This window comes from Homo sapiens, chromosome 7 (assembly GCF_000001405.40).
Source record: "Homo sapiens chromosome 7, GRCh38.p14 Primary Assembly".
Classification (NCBI taxonomy): Eukaryota; Metazoa; Chordata; class Mammalia; order Primates; family Hominidae; genus Homo; species Homo sapiens.
Genome location: NC_000007.14, coordinates 24,896,146 through 24,920,927, shown reverse-complemented (window position 1 = coordinate 24,920,927; position 24,782 = coordinate 24,896,146). Strand labels below are relative to the sequence as shown.

Below are 24,782 nucleotides of genomic sequence, written 5' to 3'. Positions count from 1 at the left end.
GGATGACTAATGTGGCAGCAGGATTGACAAGTCTTATCATAATTTGTACAGGTGTTTCCATGTGTAGAAGTTGAATTTGACCTCTGACTTTTGCTGTTTAATTCTTTCATTTCCATGAGTTCACTAGATGGTATAGATTCAATAGGCTTTATATAGGCTGATCCGAAATCACAGGGTCCCATGTTGATTTTATTTGGTCATTTGTTTTCAACTGAGCTTGCTATTTTAAAGCAGTCTTGGTGGGGTTTTCATAACTTCCTTGTTGGAGTTTTCAAGGGATTTTTACATTTAGATATAATTCACATACTACAGAATTTACTCTTCTAGAATGTATGTCAGTAATATTTTTTAGTATATTCAGAGTCATGTTACCATCACCACTATCTAATGAATTTCTATCACTCAAAAAGAAACTCCATATTACTTTGTTTCCTTCTGCCTCTAGCCAGCCCCTGGCAAACATTTTTCTATTTTCTGTCTCTATAGATTTGCTTATTCTGGACATTTTATATAAATGGAATCATACAATATATGGCCTTTAAAAAATCTGTCCTCCTTCACTTAGTGTAATGTTTTACATGTTCATACATGTTGTAGCATGACTCACTATTTAATTCCTTTTTATGGCTGAAATAATATTGTGTGGATATTCTACTTTTTATTTATGTATTCAGTTAGTAGATATTTAGCTTTTTCTACTTTTTGACTATTATAAATAATGCTACTATGAACGTTCCTGAATAAGATTTCATGTAGACATACATTTTCATATGTCTGGGTTTATACCTGGGAGTGGAATTGCTGGGTCACATGGTAACTCCATGTTTAACATTTTCAGGAACTGCTAGAAGGTTTTCCAAAGTTTGCATTCCCATCAAACTGTGTAAGGTCCCAGTTTCTCCACATCCTTGATAACACTTGTTATTGTCTGTTAAGTAAATAATTTTATATAAACATTTTAGTGGTACATCATTGTGGTTTTGATTTGCATTTCCTTATGGTTAATGACATTGAGCATCTTTTCATGTGCTTATTGGCCATTTTTTGTGGCTTCTTTGGAGGAGAAATGTCTATTGTAGTTATATGCCTGTTTAAAATATTGGATTATTTGTTTTTTTATTATTGAGTTGTAAGAGTTCTTTATTCTGCATACTAGACCCATATCAGATGATTGGCAAATATTATCTCTCGTTCTGTGGATTGCCTTTTTATTTTCTTGATATTGCCCTTTGAAGTGCAAAATGTTTTAATTTTGATGAAGTCCAATTTATCACTTTTTTCCCCCTTAGTTGCTTGTGTTTTTAAGTGCCGTATATCAGAAACCACCTAATCCAAGGTCAGGAAGAGTTACCCCTATGTTTTCTTCTAAGAGTTTTATAGATTTAGCTCTTACATTTATGCCTTTGGTCCATTTTGAGTTAATTTTTGTATATAGTGTGAGGTAGGGGGCCCAACTTTATTATTTTGCATGTAGATATCAAGTTCCAGCACCAGCACCATTTGTTTTAAAGACCTTTATTTCCCCTTTGGATTATCTAGGCCGTTTTTCCAAAAATGAAGTGACCATAAGTGTGAGGGCTTAATGTCTACATTCTCAATCTTATTCCACTGATCTGTATGTCTGTCTTTATGCTAGGACACGTTGTCTTGGTGCCTGTAGCTTTGTAGTAACTTGAAATCACAAAGTGTGACTCCTCCAACTTCGAAAAGATTATTTTTTGATGTGATGCTGATGTCTGTCCTTCTCCCACACATATTTTGAGATATCTTTTCTTTGTCATTATGAAGTCATATTGGAAATGCTATTTGAAGTGGCCATGAATTCATTTTCAGATCTAAGCTCGGTATTTATATAAAAGGTGTGGATTTGGATGGAATCAGACATATTCCAAAAATTTGGCCACTGGCTCTGTTTCTTAACTATAAAATGAAACTCTACCAAATCAAAGGGTAATTCGGGGAATTAAATAATGTGACGTATGTAAGAGCATCTAGCATTGTACCTGGGAAATGTTAGTTACAAAATTTATGTCTGTTGCCTTTTCTATCCCCTTCTCATGGATGCAGAAGCTTTCTTGGTACCTTGTAATACGATTCTAAATTCTTCCTTAAAATCATTCTTCTTCCATTTAGAAAGTATTTTCTCCAGGGTCATCATAGGAATTGGAATTACTGAATTTTCTAGTCTATGCTGTGATATTTGTATAATGTTTCAGACTAAGTTCACTGCCTTATCTCCAGTGTCTAAAACTGTGCCTGACCAATGGTAAGTGATTAGTGAACATTTGTTAAGTGAGTACTAAATGTTGATCCCATTTTCTTATTTGCTTGGGTAAATATAAAGTTAATTGCTTGTACATATGTTTCTAAGTAAGCCCACATAACAGTTGTGTGAATATTTAATTATGAGGTATTTTCCACAAGATTTTCATGAGTAGTTTATCCAGCTGACTTAGTGTTTTAACTCTCTCGAGTGGCACTTCTTTCTTCCAAATACATACTTCTATCTAGATGTTTTCTCTCTGGGGTAATTCCAGACTGAAATAGGAAGGATTGAGTGTGAGTAGTAAAGTTTAAACAGCAAGTGGAGAGGAGAGTGGGATGTTGGGGATGGCACAGTTATGTGGTCATGAGAACCAAGGAGGGAAACTTAGGGAGGATAGGGTCAAGTAGGAAAGCACACTGCCAGCTTCTGAACATTGCTATGGTGTTTATGTGATGGTCAGTTTCTCATGACTCTCTTGACCTCTCAGGTCTGTACATGAAACTGTAAACAAAGAGTATCCAGGTGTCATTACTGGCTGCTGTGAGCCTGATACACACTGAGAAACAGCACCTGTGCTTGTCATTATGTGCGTCGAGGATAAGCCAACCTTTATAGGTAAGAGTGCTAGTCATTTTATGGACTCATAGGATCACTGAATTTGAAAGCTAGACAGGATCGTCAGGCTGAAGGAATCTTGGTAAATGGGTAAGTGTTGCCTCAGAGAATGGATTCCATTATCAAATAGATTTGGAATGAGTTCAACCAAGTTAACAGGTTCAGGTTTTGTTGTTGCTGCTTTTGTTGTTTAACTTCAGGGTTTCTCAGAGCCTTTAATGTGCCAACATATGTTACATGGTGTCTTTAAGAGTGAATGTTTAAGAGCAGGACTTCCCAAAGATGACTAGTCTCTGGAGTCTCCCCCTAGCCCACAGAGAGCCTTCTGGGACTAGTACTTGCCAGGGCATATTTTGCATAGTTATGGTTCAGGGTAATGCCTTTATTTCTCAGACATGAAGTCTTATTCTTTAGTCTTTTTGAGTTGCTGTTTCTAAGAAAGGTCATGTCTGCTGATACATAACATAGAAGCTGACTGTGTCTGTTCTCTAAGAACTGCCACAAAAGTGAGAGCTTAAATTAGGAGTTACAAAAAAATTGATGAAACTCCCTGTTTAAGTGTGTGTGTGTGTGTGTGTATATATATATATATGTGTGTGTATATATATATATGTTACAAATATATATATATATATATATATATATGTTACAAATATATATATATGTTACAAATATCCTATGCTCCAGGATATCAATATTTGGGTTTTTAAAATCTGTTACTTGTATTGCGCAGTCTGTATGGTGCCTGATAATCCTTGATATAGTGAACTTGAAAATTCAATTTCTGCAGATTTTGCTCTGATGCACACCCCTTAAGATGGAGAACAAGGAAGAGGCAGGAGGATGACCTATGGAAAACATGACCACTGACTTCTGCTATAGAATAAACAAAATATGGACCACTATAATGGTGCTGGGGTAGTAGATAAGCTTGTTGTCACTGGAATGCATTCTTGGAGTTCTGTGGTAGAGCAAATTGTATATAGTTACAAATATGGGTGCAGCCCCCTCTACTCCTGGGAATTCTTTTTCCTTCCCTCTCTCTACCCATATACCCATCCTTCCTTCCTTCTTCTAAGTCATCAAATAGGAGTTATTTATTTAATTTTCTAAAAAGGTTGGGGGGGGTGGAAATGGAAGACGTCTTAGTGGCTGCCAGTAAACCTGGTTTGTGTGTGTTGGTATATGTCACCATTGTGGTGTAACAGCAGCACAGCTGGGAATCCCAGCATGGGAAGTTTCCATTTACATCTCTAGTGAAAATACCCAAGCACCACGTTTTTTTCTTATCTACATTATCGGGAGGTTTCTACACTTCCCTACTAGATGATGGTGTCGGGAGGAATGATATTAGGCAGATTCTTTCACCTTAGAGCATGGCACATAATGTTTCTCCAACAGTTGAGACACAGCCAGAGAAGAGGGTCAGGGAATGAAGAAGACTGATGGAGGTATATGAGTCAGAATCTGAGGTTGGGGAGTGTTGGGGGAAATAAGAGAAACACAGATCAGGTGAACAAATGGAAAAAGAACCATGCAAGCCAGAAAGGTAATTGCTGTTTTATTTTTACTTCACTGATGTTTTCTTAATTAAAAAAAATTAGGCAAAAGAAAAAAAAGTTCAAAGGAGAAAGTAAAATATTACCCAAAAAAGCTCAAGCGGAAGATAACAAATGTTAACATTTATTTCAGCCATGCCTCTGTACATACTGTGAGAGAGGAACAGAAGGATGGGTAGATAAATGATGGGCAGAAATAATTGTGTAAGACTGAGTTCAAACAAAACATGGCTTTAAAAGTAAAACATTCAATTTGATCTTGAATTTAACAAAAGGGAAAGAAATTGTCCATCTTCTGAAAAGTAATTCTGTAGCATAAGAGTATTTGTTCTCTTAGGTTCAGAAGAGAGGTGAAAACCATCACAAGGTTGGGAGTCAGGATGGATTGAGAATAACAGGACAACATGATAAACATCGAGTGCCTTCTCCCTTTGTCCCTGCCTGGCTTTCTGATGTATGCTGCTTGTTTTATTTTTGTTTTGTTAGGCTTTATACTTTTAACACTCTGTAGCTCTAATTTCCCCTGGGTATCCCTCCACCTATTTATTCCTAATCAATGTACTGTTAACCATTGGTCTTTTTACTATGGCTTTTCATTCTTAAAAATTTAATGGGCTGGGCATGGTGGCTCACGCCTGTAATCCTAGCACTTTGGGATGCCGAGGTGGGTGGACCACTAGGTCAGAAGTTCGAGACCAGTCTGGCCAACATCATGGTGAAACCCCATCTCTACTAAAAATACAAAAATCAGCTGGGCATGATGGCAGCTGCCTGTAATTTCAGCTACTTGGGAGGCTGAAGCAGGAGAATAGCTTGAACCCAGGAGGCAGAGGCTGCAGTGAGCCAAGATTGTACCACTGCACTCCAGCCTGGGTGACAGAGTGAGACTGTCTCAAAAAAAAAAAAAAATTAATGTTTGGTGGGCAACATGGTGAATTTTTTTTTTTTAAAGAAAGGGGTTTTGGGTGCCATATTCCTTGAATTTGGAAACATTTCATGTTTGAGGATTATTATGTTTGGAAGATTATTATTTTTGAAAGACAACTTTTCTGTTGCCAAACTGTCTTCTAAAGAGGTTGTTCACATTTCTAGTCTACTAGCAATTTATGAAAATGCCCACCTTCCATGGGGGAATTTTAAAGACTTTGCCTGAAATGATAGAACTCTATTGGGTAGTGGCTGAAGTAAGTTTGAGTTGGTAAATCAGGGGTCAGATTATGGAAAAACTTACATGTTGGAGAATCAGCTATTTTCTTGGTGAGTTTCTTCTTTCTTTGACAGATTAACAACTTTCCAGCAGGCCAAATGAGAATTATTGGGTAGCTTTGTGGAGCTGTGTGGGAACCCTCTTAAAAGATTTCTCATTCTCTCTCCCTGCCCACTGTGAAAAGGCACTTGGCTGACTGATGGTAGGTTTTGGTTGCCATCTGAAGATAGTAGAAAGTGGCAAATACTTTCATCTACCAAAAAATTGGCATCTGATTTTTTTTAACTGATAACTTTTTTGGTTACGAAGTATGATCTTTTGCCTTGCCTGACAGCCTGTTGTCTTGATACTGAGCAGTCCTTATAAACCATTCCTAAACGATTTCCAGTTGAAGTTGTATGAGCTGGAGGGTCTGGTCCTTGTAGGGCAGCTCATCTCTTGTGGTGACACAGTTTGTAGTACCTGTAAGTTTACATTGGGCTTTTTACTAAAAAACCCTGCTGATCTCATGTAGAAAACCAATAGCCTGTTTCATCTTTTGTTTCATTTTATCCAGACAATAGAGGAAATGGGAAAGAAAATTGCCCAGATGTGACTTCACACACTTAAGTTTTGGCCATCTTACTTTGTGGTGACTCAGATATACACCAGCCATCGACTTTTTCAGAGGAGGTGGAGCAGGACACACCTGGAAGATTTCAGGAGGCAGAAATGTGTCTAGGTTTGCCCATTTTGTGCTACAAAAAAAAGGGAGAAAATAAGTGGTTTAGAATGGTATGGTCTAAAACTGGGCTCTCCAGTATAGCAGATGCCAGTCATCTGTGGCTATGTAAATTTCAATAATTTAAAATGAAATAAAATTTAAAATTTAGTTTCTTAGTTGCACTGGCCACATTTCATGTGCTCACTGGGGCAAGTGGCTGGAAGCTACAGTATTGGACAGCATCAAGTTCTACTGGCTAGTAGATGCTACTGGCTGGTAGAACTTGTTGCTGTCCAATACTGGCTCTGCTGTCCAATGGCTGGCTCTGGTCTGGGTGCTGATCTTTTCTTTTCCATGATCCTGTGGGGTTCATTCCAGCCTTAAGAGTTGGGCTCTTGTCTCTTCTCCCTTGTTACCTCTACTTTCAATCATTCTTCTGTTCCTATTCAGATGACAAGCTGCTTTCCATATTGCCTTGTTGGTATCCTGTTGATAACCCTCAGGGAAGCCCATTTGTGGTGGGAACTAGATCTTTGCACTGCAATATTAAAAGAACAACCCTCTGGCCAACACCCAAGAGTCTGCATGTTCTTACCAAAGGATTGAATGGTGCTTGCGATTTTGACTCTTTCGTAATGAATCTGCTCCTTAGGAAAGTTTCAATGCATATATGTAGAACTTTTACTTTACTTTAGCTCTGTTTTCCATTTCTGGGTGTATGTTTTTGATGGGATACGGTCCTTGGTCCTTGTCCTCGTCCTAGTTGTATCCCCACTGACTGACCCTGTTACCTTAGTAAGATATTTAATTTCTCTGTGGCTCAGTTACCACATGACAATGCACTCCCAATCACAGCTTCAACTATTATGAAGATAAATGCCAAATGATAAGGGAGAAATTTTGAGGTCTGGGCTGAAAGGAATGTTTCCAGGGTTTTTAAGGGGTTCATGTGTCTTTTCATCTTTGTGCCCAGTCCTAGATTCCCAGTGTCACTTTGTGATGTGTCTGTCACTATCAGACACATACCGGCCTTTGTCAGCTGATTGGCCCCCACACTAGACCGTGTCTGCTTCTTGTAAGTGACTTTATAAGGGAGTCAGGGTTTGTTGGTCAAGGAGCCCCCTTCTGAGTCTGACCTACCCAGCAGGAGTGGGATGCTCTGGTAGCAGGAGCCTGCTAGCCTGAGGGACAGGAGAAGAGAGTGTTGCTGCTGACTTACCTAGGAGACTTTTTCACCCCATGTTCTCATGCTTCCCACCTGCTGAGTCTGGAGGTCTGCCAGGGCTTCCTGCCTGGGGTTTCAGCGATCTAATGCAGTGTCACAAACAACCCCAAAACTTGGTAAATTGAGACAATGACGATGAACTGGTAGGTTAATGACAATATTTATGTATCCCTGACATCTTTAATTTGGGTGGGACTTGATGAAAAGACATAGTTTCTGCTCTACTCACTGGCAACTGGGACAGCAGGAAGGCTGGAGGCTGGGACATTTGAATCCTTGCTCAGTCACATGTCTGCGGGTTGATGCTGGTTATCGGCTGAGGTGAGGCGGTCGCCATTCTTTTCCGAATGGATCTCTCCATGTGTTCTTTCCATGTTGGCTAGCTTGAGCTTACTCACATCGTGGTGGCTGAGTTGAAGGGCAAGCACCCTGAGACAACAGGACAAGTGGAAGTTACATTGCCATTTCTAATGCAGCCTCAGAAGTCACGAAGCATCATTTCTGCCATAATTAGAAGCCACTCAAATTTGAAGGATGGGAATATAGAAGCCATCTATTGATGAAGAAGTGTCACGGTCACTTTGTTAGAGGAGCATGTGGGATGGGATGTACATTGGTATGGTCGTCTTTGAAAAATACATCTTCCACACCCAGTAATGATGAATCAGAACTGGCATCAGCTTGCTCTAAGCCATAAATAAGCCTTGACGTCTGCCTTGGGTCTGGAGACTGGGTGCTTCTCATTTTCAGGAGCTATGATTGTCATTGTTCTGTGCTGGGGCTGTTCTGTCTTTGGGTGTGAGGATGGGAGAGTTGCCTTTTGCATAGTACTCAGAGTTCTTTGATGAAAAACGGTAAGCACAGAATGGTTTATTAGAATGCCCTTAATGTGCTAAACTCCCTAAATCAATGGATGTCTGCAGTGAATCTGCAACATAGGGGAATATGCAAGGAAGATCAAGGCCCTGGTTGCTGAATTTGATTTTTAAAATTAATTTGATGGAATCCAGCTTAGAGTTTTAACACATTACTTACATCCCACATTTTGACTTACATTTTCTGATTTGTAATTCCTATGAACTATTATTTTTTGGTAACATTCTTACTAGATGTAAACTCCTAAAGAATTAGGATCTATCTTTCCACAAATTTTTAAAGTTTGATAAATGGATACTTGAGAATATTTTCTTACTTCGGAGATAAAATTTAGTAAAAACCTTCTAGTAGCTAGTGTGAAGGGGAGGGAACACAGGTTATCAATTTGATAAACAAATAACCTACTACCTACCGTGTCAATTAAGAAAAAACAAAAACAAGGATGAGACAGTCTTCAAATTGCTTTTGATCTATACACTCTACTGGAGAGAATAAAATAACCATGTCATTGTTAGCATTGGGAACAGAGGTGCTTTTAGGTTTTTCTTGCCTTTTAGCTCTAGTCTACCAGTAACCACCCCACCTTTTTAAAACCTGTTTACTCTGCCTTTTCCTTTTATGTCTCTCTTTTTTCCAGTTTGCACTAGTTTAAAAGTGTCTCAGGTTAAGTTTTTTGCAGTAATCTTTCTTTCCCCTAGAAGTGAGTAAAACTTCCTGTATCCCTTTTTCTCCCCACCTATGTTCCCTAAATTAGTGATTCTCTTACAAGGAATTATTATCGCCCCTGCAGTTTTGGAAGGATACCTCCAAAATATATCTTGGGGACTTCGATTTATAGAATTTGGTTTAAGCTTAGATTCTGAGTCCCAGGGTTATTTTTAGTTAAGTGGACAAACAAACTTGAAGTGTGTACATCTGATACATGACCCACTAGGGTATTTTGTTTCTTGTTATTTGAGAGTGTTCAGTTAGCACTTATAGAGCATTACCCATTGTTAGCTGGCTGTTTACATTTCTGAAAAGATGATAAGTTGATTTTTGTAGGAAATAGGGAAGTTTTAAAACTTCATGCTCACATTTCATAGTAACTCAATTGATAGTCTTTTTAGATAAGTAATGAAATGCTGCCTGTGGTTGCCAATTGTTAAAACTCTACCAAGCTTCCGCAAGCAGTTGTCGGTTAAGGGAGCGTAATAACACCCACTGATAAAATTCAAACCACCAGATGTTATTTTAAGTTCTTGGGTGGTGCTATCTTTTCTTACCCTTTAAACTGCTAAGTCACATCCTGCTTTGCATTTCAATTTGGTATAAATTGGATGCAGCAGACATAGGTCTGGCATAAGATGCTCAAACAAAATTAAATACCAAAATTAAAGAAGGCAGTTCTGTGGAGTAAATCTGTCATTTCTGGATGCAAGATTATGTTAGAGCAGTGGCTCAACCCTTGCTGTGTATCCAAATCACCTGGGAGTGTCTCAGGATGCCCTTGCCCTGGCCTCATCCCCAGTGTCTGGACCAGTTAGTATGAAATGGCACCAGGCTTTGGGATTTTGTAGAAGCTTCCCAGGGTGATCCTGTCACGCAGCCGGGGTTGAGAAATGTTGCAGGAGGTGCCCCTCCCGACCCAGCTCACAGCTTTGTCCTCCATGCTTCTCTCTACCTAGTCAAGCCCTATCCACATCTTCACGGCTCCCTGCAGGCCACCTCTTCCTAAGCTTTTTCTCACAACTCCAGCCCCACTGAGCTCTTCCCTTGTGACTGCCCATAGCACCTACCAGATGGCCCACCCTGGGGTGTGTTCTGGCTTGTTTCATTTGTGACATCTTATCTCCTTGATCACAGTGGTTTCCTCCTTGGATTAAGTTTCTGTCACTTAGTTTCCATCACTGAAGGGTTAGCACAGCAGTGGACACATAGTAGTTACTTTATAGGATATATACTGAATTGAGTTTTCATCAGTGTGCCTGTCTTCTTTTTGCCACCTGTCTTTCCACTGTAGCTTCCTTTATTAGCCCACATTTATTCATAAGTATTTCTTCCTTGTAAGGTGTTGAAGGACAAGTAAGAGTAGCTAAGCTGCAGAAGGAGGAGGAAAACTCAGCCCATTTCTGATTTCTCCATTCAGGAATGGAGGAGTTGTCATAGGACCTATGGACTCATCTCTCTCCATTCAGAACATTGATTCATCCTGATCTGTAGTGACTCTTGGGACCACGTGGGTGATAAATGCAACATGAAAGGGGCTGGCTTGCTGGAGAAGGTGAAAATGATTTGAAGATTGGATGTCTACCATCTATCCTATTTTGAGCATTTGGGATTATTTCAGGCCAGGGTAATACACACCTTCAAATTGAAAATAGTAGCTTTCGGCCAGCCACGGTGGCTCACACCTGTAATCTCAGCACTTTGGGAGGCCGAGGCAGGTGGATCACCTGAGGTCAGAAGTTCGAGACCAGCCTGACCAACATGGCGAAACCCCATCTCTACTAAAAAGTACAAAAATTAGCCGGGCATGGTGGTGTGTGCCTGTAATCCCAGCTACTCATGAGACTGAGGCAGAAGAATTGCTTGAACCTGGGAGGCAGAGGTTGCAGTGAGCTGAGATCTGAGCTGAGATCACGCCACTGCGCTCCAGCCTGGGCGAGAAAAGCAAGACTCTGTCTCCAAAAAAAAAAAAAAAAAAAAAAAAAGAAAGAAAAAAAAAACAGTAGCTTTCCTTATTTTGTCAAATAATGAAAAGGATTCTTACTGCCATAGGTTCCTGTTTCTGGCACAGGAAGCTGGCCAGGACAGAGGTGATTGGCAGCTTTCTGTTAAGACGTACAGAGGTGACCTAAGGTTCCTAATTTGAAGGCATGCCAGCTTCTTAGGGCCAATGTTATTTGTGCTATACCTGTGTAACTGAGAGATTCAAAAATTAGGTAACTTTAACACGATTAAAGTTTATTTCTCTCTCATGTAACTGTTCAGATATTGTTATTCCTTGGCTGGCATGGTGACACTATGGTCTTCAACCAGTGTGTCTTTCATTTCTGGGTCCAGCTATCACCACCTCCCAGCTCTCAGGAATGGGGAAAGGGCAGGGAACATGTGTATCTCTTTTTAGGACCATGACCTGGAAGACAAACAACTCTGCTCACATCTCATTGGCAGCCCTTAGTCACAAGCCCCTACCAAGCGGCAAAGAATGCTAGAAGTGAAAGCCTCTTATTAGATGCCCATGAACCACATTAAAACTCGAGAGTTCTATTATTAAAGAAGGGGAGAGTGGATATTGCTGGATAACAAGCCAAGGCATGCATGCTAACTTACCAAAATATCAGATCTATCAGTTATCACCCCGTTCACTGGTTTGGGTAAAAACACTCTAAATGTCAAAAGAAACCTCAAATGTATCATGAGTTCTGTGAAGTCATGGTAGAAAAGTAGAGAACTTGAGGGGGATGTTTGATGTCTCTACTTTTTGGGGAAAGGTAGACCATGTGCTTGAAAAGGACACGCAAAGTAACTACAGCACAGATAGTGTTGATAAGCCGAGTTTGGTTTGTGGAGCAGGCTCTTGCCATCTTTTGAGGACAAGTGTGTTTGGCAAGAGATTTGCTAACTTGTTTAAGAGAGTTGAACTGAAATTTGATGGGAAGGAAAAAACGTTAAAACTTGATTGGCTAGAGAACAACCGGCAGAGCAAAGATAAAAAGACCAATAACAGAGGAGGAGAACATCAGTAATTTCTTTTTAAAAAAGCCTGGGCAGCTGGTTGGTAAAATACCTGCAGCTCTTTGCCATTGTGCAGCTTATGAGAATGAAGCAAAATAAACTTGAAACATTAAAACTTGGATATAGATAGCATCACTGGATCTGTCTCACCACGGTTAGCGTGGTTCTCGTGACTAGAATATGATTTTAGAAGGGGATGTTTTACTGTAAAGAAGCAGTCTTGGGGAAATCTAGACCTTAATGATGAATCCCTGGGTAAAGAGGGCATGGTAGGGAAGAAAGATTGTAATAGGATCAGTATTATGGATGGCCAGATAGAGGCTATGGAGGGCGCTTTCTTCTCAGAAACTGAAACTTTAGAATGAATACCACATGTGCTGATAAAAAGGAGATTCAATCAGATAATCACCCACTGGATGTTTCATTCGGCTAACTTCTGATAAACTCTTGACTTGTTTTGCCGATCATTTAATTTTTAAGAAGACTGAAAAAATAATGCAGAGAATGATAGCTCTGGGTTTCTTTCTGAGCCAACAAGGAAGCATTAACTAGTGATAGAAAGTGGCAGGAACCAGGAAATGAAATCCCCAAAGAAGGATGCTTTGGGCATAACATCTCTATGGTACTAGAAATATTTGAAACAAGTCAGAGAAAAGAGAGAAATGATGTCTCTTGTGGCCAAAGACTTAAAATGGCAAGGAGATCTCACAAGGAAGGAATAGCTGAAATATTCTGAAATACATAAGTAATCCCAAATGATTCCAGTGAACAGTAAAGACAGAAGTCTCCTATGGGAATAAATAAATGTGCTCACACTGAGAACTCTTTCCTTGGCTCAACAAAGATTGCTACCAGTCTTTGTAAATTACTTTCCACAGAATGTAGAGGTGAATAAAATGCAGTCCCGAGTGAGATATAGACCCAACATCTAGCAGTCAGGATATGAAGAGTGAGTCAGAGTGCAGGAAACGTGACTAATACTTTCAGGTAGCGCAAAAGGAAAGCAGAGTCCAAGAGGAAACAAACGCATTTGGGGTGGGAGAGGGGTTGAGAAAAGGCTTCATGGAAAAGGCAATGCTGAAAGTGATCTTCGGAAGATGGAGGACTTTGCCACAGACGGAAGAGAGAAAGTGGGTTAGGAGGGTGCTCCATAAAGAAGGACTCACTAGGAGAAAGGGAGAGTGCAGAATACAGGGTATGTATATATGAGTTGTTAGAGATGAAGTTTGAGTGATAACAGCCAAAGTGTAACTGAGTGATGTCTGGCAAGGACTATGCTGAGTGTTTTACATGCATTATTTTAGTCAATCTTCACAAAACCCTGTGAGGTTAGTACAGTTATTCATGCCTGCTTTCACATGACGAAGCAACTCAGACATTTAGCCACAGAGTGAGAGGTAGATCCAGAGTCCAAAACCAGTGAAATGCAACTATGTAGTGGAGGGTTTTGCCTGCCAGGCCTTGCTATTTTACTTAAGCTTGTAGGCATTGGGAATTTGGAGCAGGGGAGAGCCTGGCGATAAATTGAACTAGGGAATGGATATAAGGATTGAAGTGCTGGGAGAGAAAATGTGGAGTCAGTTGCAGGGCCTAATGGTGGTCTAAAATGGATAGGTTGTTTTGAGAATAGAAGAATATAAAACACATTGGGGGGTGATGAGGTCAGTGTCAGGGAGAGAGAGAATCTACACTACTGGGGGCTCTGGGAGAGGGAGTTTGGTTGGATTAATAGAGGGTGGGTATCTTAATCAGAGTCAGGGAAGCCAGTGGCAGGTATTAATATCAGCATGAGGGAGTAATGAGCATAGGCTTGCTGTTCCAGTGATGAATCCAGGGGCCAACACCAGGCTGGGGACTGGAGTGTGGGGGTAGGGAGCAGTGTAGAGGCTTTACTAAGGTAAGGGGCCTGTAAAGATGATCAAGAGCTGAAGTGCATAGAGAGAAGTGGATGAGGGACAAAACTTTGGTGACTGCCCATGGAACTGGGAGAGAAAAGGAGACAGTAAGCAACACTTTAAAGTTAAGAGGTATCAGCACTCCTGTGTTCACAGAAGCACTGTTGATGATAGCCAAGATGTGGAAACAACCTAAATGTCCATCAACAGATGAATGTGTGAAGACACTGTGGTAGGAACAGAGTGGCCAATGGCCTGGAGAGCAACATGTCCATGTGTGATTGTGACTACTGCAATAAATACCTCACTCATGACTCTTCATCTGTGCAAAAGATACTCTACAGTGATATCTACAAAGAGAATATGAAAGACTGCTGTCAGAATGGGGTGGAAGAGCAGCTCAGAGCCTGATGGACGAAACAATGGCTGCACTTCAACAAGGAAAGGTTCCTCCTACTCCATTCTCTGCCTCTCCCCAGCAGGGGCAATGATCCCACCTCCTCGCAAGTCTCCCGGCTCCTCTTTGCCCTGGTATGATGCCTGCACCTCCTATAAGTGGCCATCCCATGATGTCAGTGATGGGTTCTCCTCCTCCTGGGATGATGCCAGTGGGACCTGCTCCTGGAATGAGGCTGCCATGGGAGGTCACATGCCAATGATGCCTAGGCCTCCAGTGATGGAACCTCCTACCTGCTCCGTGATGATGCCTGCTGAGCCCAGAATGACTCACTATGCAGATGAGGACAGGAGGGAGGCCTCTTTATATTAGTTTCCTATTACTTGTTCTGCTTCACCAGGAGATCATGGTGCTGTGACTCTGGGTGTTTTCTTTTTTTTTGAGATGGAGTCTGACCCAAGCTGGAGTTCAGTGGTACAATCTCAGCTCACAGCAACATCTGCCTCCCAGATTCAAGCAATTCTCCTGCCTCAGCCTCCCAAATAGCTGGGATTACAGGTCCCCGCCACCACACTTGGCTAACTTTTGTATTTTTAGTAGAGACAGGGTTTCAACCATGTTGGCCAGGCTGGTCTTGAACTGCTGACCTCAAGTGATCCACCCACCTCGGCCTCCCGAAGTGCTGAGATTACAGGCCTGAGCCACCACGCCTGGCCACTGGATGTTTTCTTAACAGCATGGCAAGGAAGACTTACGCCCTCTTCCTATCAAAGAGAATAGTTTTGGAGCCCACACTCATCAGTATGGAGTCATGACTCTTAGCCCTGGACGCGTGTCAGAATGTCCTACGGAGCTTATTCCACTTCAATCATGGACTCTGGGCTGGGGCCTGGGCAGCAGTGTTTTGTAAAAGCTCTTCACTAGTTTGCAGCCAGGGTTGGTAATAATTGATCTAGACTTTTCAGAAATTTCCTGTCTGTTTCTAATAATCTTCACAGAATCTACCCAATTTTCATTTTCTGATACCTATCTCACTCTCCCTCATCCGGCATAGCTTACTGTCAGGTCCCATGAAGACTGAAGTCATTCAGTCCCCTCATCTGTTTGGGCTAAATTGGTATCCAGAACCCATTTAGCAGAGCTGGGTGCACATTTCCTATCTCTTCTCTGTCGTGGGTTTCAAGTTTGTCTTCTCTGTGGTTATTTTATTCTTTCCCGTTAGTACGTCTCCTTGAAGAAAAAAGATGGAAAACAACTGGGATTGGAGCAATCCTCTTGACCCCCGATGCTTTGTGAAGAGTTTCCACACCCAGAAGCTTATCTTCTATTTGTGCATCTGGCTCTGGCTATGTGTCCACAAAGCCCTTTAGTTTTCACCACTGCTGTTTGCAAGCCTTGGGTTGCTCCTGATACCAGTCCTCCAGGCATTATTCCAGCATGGTTGTGCAACACTCCTGATTATGAGCCTGGCAGTACACTGTTCTAGTTCCTCTTAACTTTATTCACACACACACACACACACACACACACACACACACACACACACCTGTATATTATGATCAGAACACTTCACTGAAACTCTGTATCCATTAAACAATAACTGGTATTCTCCCCTCCCCCCAGCCCCTGACAGCCACCATTCTTCTTTCTGTTTCTATGAATTTGATTATTTTAAATATCTCATATAAGTGGAATCATGCCGTATTTGTCCTTCTGTGACTGGCTTATTTCACCTAGCGTAATGTCTTCCAGAGTCATCCATGTTATTGCCCATTGTAAGATTTCTTTAGTTTTTTACAGCTGAATAATACTCTGTTGTATGTACAGCTGTATGGGGTACTGGTTCGGTGATCGCCACAAATACCAAATTTCATGGATGTTCAGGTTCCTGATATAAAATGGCAAAGTATTCGCACGTAACCTATGCACATCCTCCTGTATATTTAAACTATTTCTAGATTACTTACAATACTTAACACAGTGTAAATGCTATGTAAATAGTTGCTGTACTGTGTTGTTTTAAAATCTGTATATTTTCATTGTTGTATTGTTATTGCTGGAATACTTTTGCTCTGTGGTTGGCTAAATCCACGGATGTGAAACCTGCAGATACTGCGGGCTGACTGTATATACCACATTTTCTTTTCACTGAAAGAGTTGACAGTTACATTTTAACATTTCAACTGTACTTTTTCTGTCCCACTTCTCCCCTCCAAAACTACTGTCTTTGTTAGGAAGAGGGAGTAAGTCTTCCTTGTCATGCTGTTAAGAAAACATCCAGTGGCCAGGTGCAGTGACTCACACCTGTAATCCCAGCACTCTGGGAGGCTGAGGTGGATGGATCACTTGAGGTCAGGAGTTTGAGACCAGCCTGGCCAACATGGTGAAACCCCATCTCTACTAAAAATACAAAAATCAGCCAGCTGTGGTGGCATATACCTGCAATCTCCGCTACTCGGGAGGCTGAGACATGAGAATTGCTTGAACCTGGGAGGCAGAGGTTGCAGTGAGCCGAGATCTCACCACTGCACTCCAGCCTGGGTGACAGAGTGAGAGTCTGTCTCAAAAAAAAAAAAAAAAATTGGTGGTGAGAACATGGTAGCCAGTGGGGAGGACACAGCCTGATGAAGTCAACCCTACAGCAAAACCCACTGTCCTGAGTGATGTCTGTGGTCAGGGGTCAGGGGACATGTGCCAATAGTGAGGCCCATGTGACCAGGAGGAGGGACTCAGCATTGGAGCAAAGCCCTCGGCATTCAGGTATTGAGTGTTGGCAGACACAGGGGTGGATGTGTAGCAAACAACTTTCTCTTTTTTTAAGGAAGATGTCAGACTTCTGAAAAGTCCGCTTGAGGTATTCATCAACATATCTATTTGGTGATACCCTTGTGAACAAGGTAGAAAACCAAGATCTGAGTCAATAGCATTTCTTCTGGTGAAGGATAGGGTTACATTTGCATAGAAATCATTTGGAAATTATCTTTCCCTTCTTCTCCCAATCTGCCTGCAAGTGCGCTCTCCCAGGAATCCTATCAGCTTTGAATTGTCTATCGGTGAACTTCAAAAGGCTAGTAGTAAGCAACATTGGCCACTTGGGTCTCTTGATCTCTTCCTTTCTTCACTGGCAAGTATCTTTGATATGTGGCTTTCTGATTCTGTGAGCTAGAGGCTATTATTTGTGAGTGTGAGTCCACGCTTTCCTCATTTTTCACTTGTTCTAAGGATGTCTGTGGCCATAGGAACTGTCAAGTTGAGGCTGGGAGCCACAGGGCTCACCCAGAAGATGAAATGGAAGGCATCCTAGTGTTGGAAGCCAAGTATTAGGTTGGTACACAAGTCATTGTGGTTTTTGCCAGTTAGAAAACCACCAGTACCAGAACATCTTGCCAACAGCCCAGCAGCACCTTGTCTTACTGTCTAACTTAAGAAAAAGTAATTTATTTACACATTGTCTTATTCCACGGAGTTTTTGAAGTGGCCTCCAATAATACACATACTGCACATGGAAAAAGTCCATAGTTGAGAGAATTGGAGCACAGTGACAATAGAGGGAAGCCAAGCACAGAGAAATACTCATCTCTTGCTACTGAAGATTATCAGTGGTGAGCCATCAATTTGACCCTCTGTCCATGCTAGTACCTCAGACAAAGAGGGAGGTGCTCTGTTCACAGTCTCTAAAAGCTAAGAATAAGCCAGTCGTTTAGGTGTGGCATTCAAGAGTCCTTTCTTTATTATTATTATTATTATTATTATTATTATTATTTATTTTCTCTTGTAAATGACCATAGAAGAGACATTTAAAAGAAGCCTCTGTACAGTGTAAGTTGGTGTGGCCGTTTTGAATAGCAATTTGGAATATCTAGTAAAACTAAAACTAGTCCTACCTTAAGATGCAGCAGTTCCACTTGCTTTAGAAAATTATCATCACAGCCTCATGGGGAGCAGATACAAGTTTGTTCATTGCATCAGCATCTTTAGTAGGAAAGAGTCAGAAACAACTGAACGAGGAAGTTCAAGACATAGTCATGTTGCAGGAATGGAACAGAATGTGTGTTTTTGTGTGTGCAATAATTTTCAGTGAAAATAAGCCAGTTGCAGAAAGAAGTTAAGTTTAAAAAAACCCAGAAAAATGGTGGGTATATATGTGTGGAGACCTGTGAATTTTGGATGATAGTAATATGGGTATTTGTATATATCCTTTGTGTTTTTCTGATTAAAAGAGTAAAATACCTATTGTGATGTTGTGCAGGATAGTGACCAGTACATCCTACACTACCTAACTTATAGCAATGTGATTGCCTTCTAAATGGTCTTATATGCATTAGCTCATCTAATCACCTCAACAACCCCTTTCAGGGAGATCCTTTAATTATTCCCATTTTGCAAATGAAAAATTGAGATCTAGAGAGACTAAAAACTTGCCTAAAGCAACTTAGTAAGGCTGGCCTTGAACCCGGGCAGTTTGAGTCCACAGCTTTTAGTCTTTATTATTACTGCTCTACAAAATTTCCCAGTATCGTACAGTGGGTTGGTTATTTATTTATTGGCAGCAATTATCTCATTGTAGGTCATGGTTATACTCCTAGAAGACAATGCAGGGAAAGCAGTTCTTAGTGATCAGAATAGGGTAGTTCCATTATCAGATGATATAGCTTGAGCTTGGTGCACACATTGTCTTGTCTTTTTGGATCATTTAATGGTGGCTCACAGCCCAGAAGCACCTTGTCAACCCTGGTCCTACACCAGAAATACCTGTGGAGGTTTAGGAATACCAAAGCCTGGCCCCACCAGAGATTTCAACATAATAGATCTAGGATAGGGTCTGTTTATCAGCATTTTTGAAAGTGTGTCACGTAGTTTCAGTATGCACTCAGAGTGTGAGCCACTGAATGATAAAGTCTGGACAGTACATAGTTCAAAGTTATAATGTTTGGCAAGAGCCTGGTGCATGGGTGTTTTGTGTTGAGGATCAAAGACAGGTACATATGTGTTGACTTTTATGACCAGATTGCAGCTAATGTCCTATGAAATCATGGCTCTTAATCAGGATAAGGGAATGCATCTTAGCAGGTTAGATCTGTCTTACCAACTCTCTCTCTCTTTTTTTTTTTCTGAGATGGAGTCTTGCTCTGTCACCCAGGCTGGAGTACAGTGGCGCCATCTGGGCTCACTGCAGGCTGGAGTACAGTGGCGCCATCTCAGCTCCACCTCCTGGGTTCAAGCAATTCTCCTGCCTCAGCCTCCCGAGTAGCTGGGATTACAGGCGCCTGCCACTGTGCCCGGCTAATGTTTGTATTTTTAGTAGAGACAGGGTTTCTCTATGTTGGCCAGGCTGTCTCGAACTCTTGACCTCGTGATCCGCCCGCCTCAGCCTCCCAAAGCGCTGGGATTATAAGTGTGAGCCACCACACCTGGCCATCTCTCTCTCTTTTTTTTTTTTTTTCGAGACAAGGTCTGGCTCTGTAGCCCAGGCTGGAGTGCAGTGGCAAAACCTCAGCTCACTGCAACCTCCGCCTCCCAGACTCAAGTCATCCTCCCACTTCAGCCTCCCCAGTAGCTGATACTACAGGTGTGCACTAGCACGCCTAGCTAATTTTTGTATTAGGTTCGTGCCAATGGCAAAATCCGCACTTACTTTCACACCAACCTAATATTTTTTGTAAAGATGGGGGTTTCGCCTTGTTGCCCAGGCTGGTCTTGAACTCGTGAGCTCAAGCGATCCACCTACCTTGGCCTCCCAAAGTGCTGGGATTACAGGCATGAGCCACCACGCCTGGCCAGCCAACTCTGTCTTTTAGTTTTCTGGAGAGCTGATTGAGGAATTTTGCCATGATGACAAAGCTTGGGAGTGGAGACTGGAAGCACATGTGTCTGGTACTTGCCATACCTTGATTAAGGAGTAGCTAAGCAGTGGGACAAAATCTTTCCCAGAAAAGAACTCAGGGTCTACTCTAATCCCTGACAAATGTACACTAAGTCCTCATGTATCTTCATTGATAAGTTCTTGGAAACTGTGACTTCAAGTGAAACGATATATACGAAGCTAATTTTACCGTAGGCTAATTGATAAAAACAATGGCATGTTTCCTGTGGCATATTTCTGGTCACAAAAACATCACCAAACTTCTAAATAACAAAGTTAAATAAAACAACATTACTCGAGGACCTGCTGTATACCAAAGGCCGAAAGATTCTATGCCATGGTTGTAATATTAACCTGTGGCAGTGGTTTTGGACTTGTGCATTCAGGTCACCTGGAGAACTTGTGAAAAACAGATCCCAGGGTCCCCCTCTCAGTTCCTGATTTTGTTGGTCTGTGGTAGGGTCAGAGATTTTGCATTCCTAACAAGGTCCCAGGTGATAATGATGCTGCAAGTCTTAGGGCCCCTCTTTAAAAACCACAGGACTACGATAATAAAAGAGGGTTTTAGCTTCCTACCCTCTGCCACGTCACACATACACAAATAGAAGGATTGGCTTGGAGTCAAATAAGAAAGGTTGAAAGCTACAGGCTAAGTCAGTTACGTTCTCAAACTTTAAGCAAAAATCACCCAGGGCATGTGTTAAACATGCAGATTATCAGGCCCGTCTCTAGATAGAAATTCTGATTCAACTCATCTAAAGTGGAGCAAAATCTGCATCTTAAATAAGAATCCGGAAGACTTTGAAGAAGGTGGATCTGGACACTTTGAGAAATTGTAGGTGATTGTATAGTTATGGGCATTTATAGTGGGTTGTATGCATTTGTATGCAGAAATGCTAATTAACAGACAAATTAATGTCAGGCTGCAGAGACCTCCATGCCCTTGGTGCTCTTCTCGTTACTAAATCTCCAAGTATAATTTACTTGGGTGAGTATAGATTTCATATGCCTGTGCAATCTATGTATGCCGTAACAAAGAAGTCAGCCAGTGACCATTGGTCTCCAGAAATATCTTGACATGGGTCAAAATTAACATGTGATAATTTAATAATGATTATAATGATGGTAATAATAATAGAACAGTCAAGTCCTGAATTTTAGTTAAAGGAAGTAAAGGAGTCCGCTTCAGAAAGAAGGAAGCCCAACTTCTCAGAAATCCCTATGACCTGACAGTCCCAGTAAGAACACTGAGAACTGGAAAGAGATGCAAGTTCCCCCAAAGCTAAGGCAAATCCAGCAGTATTAACAGTTGCAGTGTGGTTGAGGCCAGGAAGATTGTCATTGCCTTCTCTTCTGCTCTGTCCAGACCACACCTAGAGCTTGTCTTTAAATCTGGGCATCACTGTTAGAGAAGCACAAATTGAAGGGTGATCAAAGTTGAACATCTGGGATCACAAGGGCTCTTGATCCATGTCCCATAAGAAATGGATGATGATGACAATGCGGCTGTTTAGTCTGGAGAAGAAAAGATTTGCTGGGTGGGATGTGGGGATGGTGGTGGTTTCAGTGCAGGTTATGGTTAAAAAAAAGTTCTGTCTTGTTCTATGTAGTTACCAAGGGCAAATCTAGGAGCAGCGCATGAAATTATAGTGAGTCATTATTTCAGCTCTAAATGATGACAAACTGTCTAGAATAGATTTTTAAAAAGGTGAAATGAAGTGCCTTGTTTCTGTCACAGGAAGTGGTCAAGCAGTGATGATCTAGCCATGTTATAGAGGGAGTTCTTGCTTTGTTTAAGCCGGAGGTTGGGCTAGAATTCGTTATTAGGCTCCATGATTCTAATGACTGGTGTTATTGCGCTTGTTGTTTTGTTTACTCAGTGATGACAAATAAATGGTTCCAGCCTAAACTGACAGCCAGATACCATTGTCCAGCTTTTTGTCTCATGGAAGCCGCACGCTTCAAATATGCACCAGGTGCATTTCTGTTGCTGGATTGGGCTCTGAGCAATCTGATGTCCCCTGAAGAAGTGGATTGTGAAGGCCATGGATGGAGCAGGGAATAGAAATGGATACTCTATTGTGCCAGAGTAAGCATTTGAGTCTTTAGGCCTCTTGACTCCTGTCTTGCCAAAAGTGAGAATAAGATTTAAAAAAAAAATGGTTTGTGGAGGAATTGTTAGACTTTAAAGAAGGGACTTCTGTGGACACTGAGCCTTAGTACTCATCTCCCAGAAACTTAGTACTCCTCTCCCAGAAACAGTCAGGTATGGGTGCCTTTGGATCAGACCAGCAGTTCAGATAGTTCGGACACATGGACAGCACTTCAGAGGTCCGGGATCACCGATCGGTATCTGAAGTTGTGATTAGAACCTGCTTCCAGAAACTTCTGATGCTGAATCTCTGGTCTGTGGTGCTTAAAGCCAAATAACCAAAGCCCTGCTTTTGACCATGTAACATTTTTGAAATCAGGGTGTTTCAGAGGGTACCATTTGTAAAAAGATGCATAACTTGGATTTGAATAATTTTATTTTATTAAAGACCAGAAATAGATATCCCACTTAAAAAATTTCTAACGTTAATTCAGGACATAATTTCTTTATATATTTTACTGGGAAATTGCAAACTATTTGGAATTATATGCCATCTGGCCTTCATGAAAGTCGTTTCCAACTATGGAAGCAAAATCTGTTTCTCAAGCAAAACATGGCCAAGTGTCTGAGTGCAGACCCCCAGGCCTAATGGATTAATAAGTAGCTGTGTTATATGCCACTTTTTGCAATCTACCAGATAATGTTGCTTTTTTGGAGAGCTAGTGGTGATGAATTCTGTGGCTTTTATCTTTCTGCATTTATGTCTTCTTCCAAAGTAAGCACACTGCTTTAATGCTTTAACACTAGTCTGTTCACACTCGCATTATGGATTTTGGGAGATGTTAATATGTTGAAGGACACACATGTTTTAAGATTCTGCCATCTGGCCGGGCGCGGTGGCTCACGCCTGTAATCCCAGCACTTTGGGAGGCCGAGGCGGGCGGATCACGAGGTCAGGAGATCGAGACCATCCTGGCTAACACGGTGAAACCCCGTCTCTACTAAAAATACAAAAAATTAGCCGGGCGTGGTAGCGGGCGCCTGTAGTCCCAGCTACTCGGGAGGCTGAGGCAGGAGAATGGCGTGAACCCGGGAGGCGGAGCTTGCAGTGAGCCGAGATCGCGCCACTGCACTCCAGCCTGGGCGACAGAGCGAGACTCCGTCTCAAAAAAAAAAAAAAAAAAAAAAAGATTCTGCCATCTTTATTTGTTTGTAGTTGAAGGAGGGGTAGAGCTTCTTATCTTGTGCTGCACCTGCCACTTTCAGGAAGCCAGGAGAGAGGAGGCCATGAGCCTTTACATCTGTGGAGTGTCTATTCTATTCCAAAGCCAGACACTGTATCCTCATTTTCTTATTTAATCCTTCTAATTTTCCTTCCTTCCTTCTTGCCTGCCTGCCTGCCTGCCTTCCTTCCTCCCTCCCTCCCTCTCTTCCCTCCCTCCCTCTCTCCCTCCTTCCCTCTCATGCTGGAGTGCAGTGGTGCAATCTCAGTTCACTGCAACCTCTGCCTCCCAGGTTCAAGCAGTTCTCCTGCCTCAGCCTCCTGAGTAGCTGGGACTACAGGCATGCACCACCATGCTCGGCTAATTTTGGTATTTTTAGTAGAGATGGGGTTTTACCATGTTGGCCAGGCTGGTCTTGAACTCCTGACCTCAAGTAATCCAGTCGCGTCCACCTCCTAAATTGCTGGGATTATAGGCATGAGCCACTCCACCTGGCCAAATCCTTCTAATTTTCTGGGGTGGCTATTATTATTCCCCATTTTATACAGGAAAAAATATAAATCAGAGAGCTTAATACATTTGTCAAGGTGCACAGAGTTTGTAATAAGGAAACACCAATTCAAACCTAGGTCTGACTCCTTCCAGCACACATATATAGTATGTGATGTCACCTTTACATCTTTTCCCAAATTGTGTTATCTTTTCTAAGTGAAACCTACTAACATGAGTCTTAAAATCAGCCTTTGTTGCCAAAATACTTGACAGTGCGTTGGTCATTTATTCTTCCCCATTCTGGGTAGAAATCAGGGTTCTCTTTTCCTAGTGGAAGCCCCAGGACAGCTTATGTTTGCATGTCATGTGTCCATTTGACTTTTAACCAAAACACTAGCGTTTCACACAGTCCTGACCCATCAGCTTCTCAAAGGTGGGTGGCAGTGGTGAGAGACAATGAAGCTCATCTTAGAGGCACAAACGTCATTTTTGAACTGACACAAGTGCATCTGGTGTTTGACACGTGTTGGTTTTGGTGGCCTCTGTGATTTAGAGGAAGGAAAGGGCCATAAGTTCTCTCCTCCTCAACCTCACCACCAGGTGGTTTGTTGAAACAAAAGCAGATCCCAAACCGAATTCTGTCACACAT

General features: G+C 41.7%; 1 protein-coding gene and 1 pseudogene across 37 annotated transcripts in view, besides 2 other annotated features; both read left to right on the top strand.

Moving 5' to 3' along the window:
* OSBPL3 (oxysterol binding protein like 3) overlaps nt 1–24,782 on the top strand; it is a 185,309-nt gene that overhangs the window by 60,918 nt on the left and 99,609 nt on the right. For 6 of the 37 annotated variants that reach the window (XR_007060003.1, XM_047420143.1, XM_047420140.1 and 3 more), the window contains exon 1: nt 2,791–2,881. The exons of 24 other annotated variants lie outside the window; for them this stretch is intronic. The gene's annotated coding sequence lies outside the window, so the exon portion shown is untranslated. Of the gene's footprint in view, nt 1–2,790; nt 2,972–3,671; nt 4,895–24,782 lie in introns of those variants that run through there. 7 more of the 37 variants (XM_047420151.1, XM_047420144.1, XM_047420141.1 and 4 more) reach the window with 2 other exon arrangements.
* Nucleotides 6,128–6,277: an enhancer, noted in NCBI's record as "active region_25760". NCBI's record gives its function as "activates an Ori minimal core promoter by ATAC-STARR-seq in GM12878 lymphoblastoid cells {active_cell/tissue: GM12878}" and the evidence as "EXISTENCE:reporter gene assay evidence [ECO:0000049][PMID:35858748]".
* Nucleotides 10,099–10,248: an enhancer, noted in NCBI's record as "active region_25759". NCBI's record gives its function as "activates an Ori minimal core promoter by ATAC-STARR-seq in GM12878 lymphoblastoid cells {active_cell/tissue: GM12878}" and the evidence as "EXISTENCE:reporter gene assay evidence [ECO:0000049][PMID:35858748]".
* Nucleotides 14,304–14,896, top strand: SNRPCP19 (small nuclear ribonucleoprotein polypeptide C pseudogene 19; annotated as a pseudogene).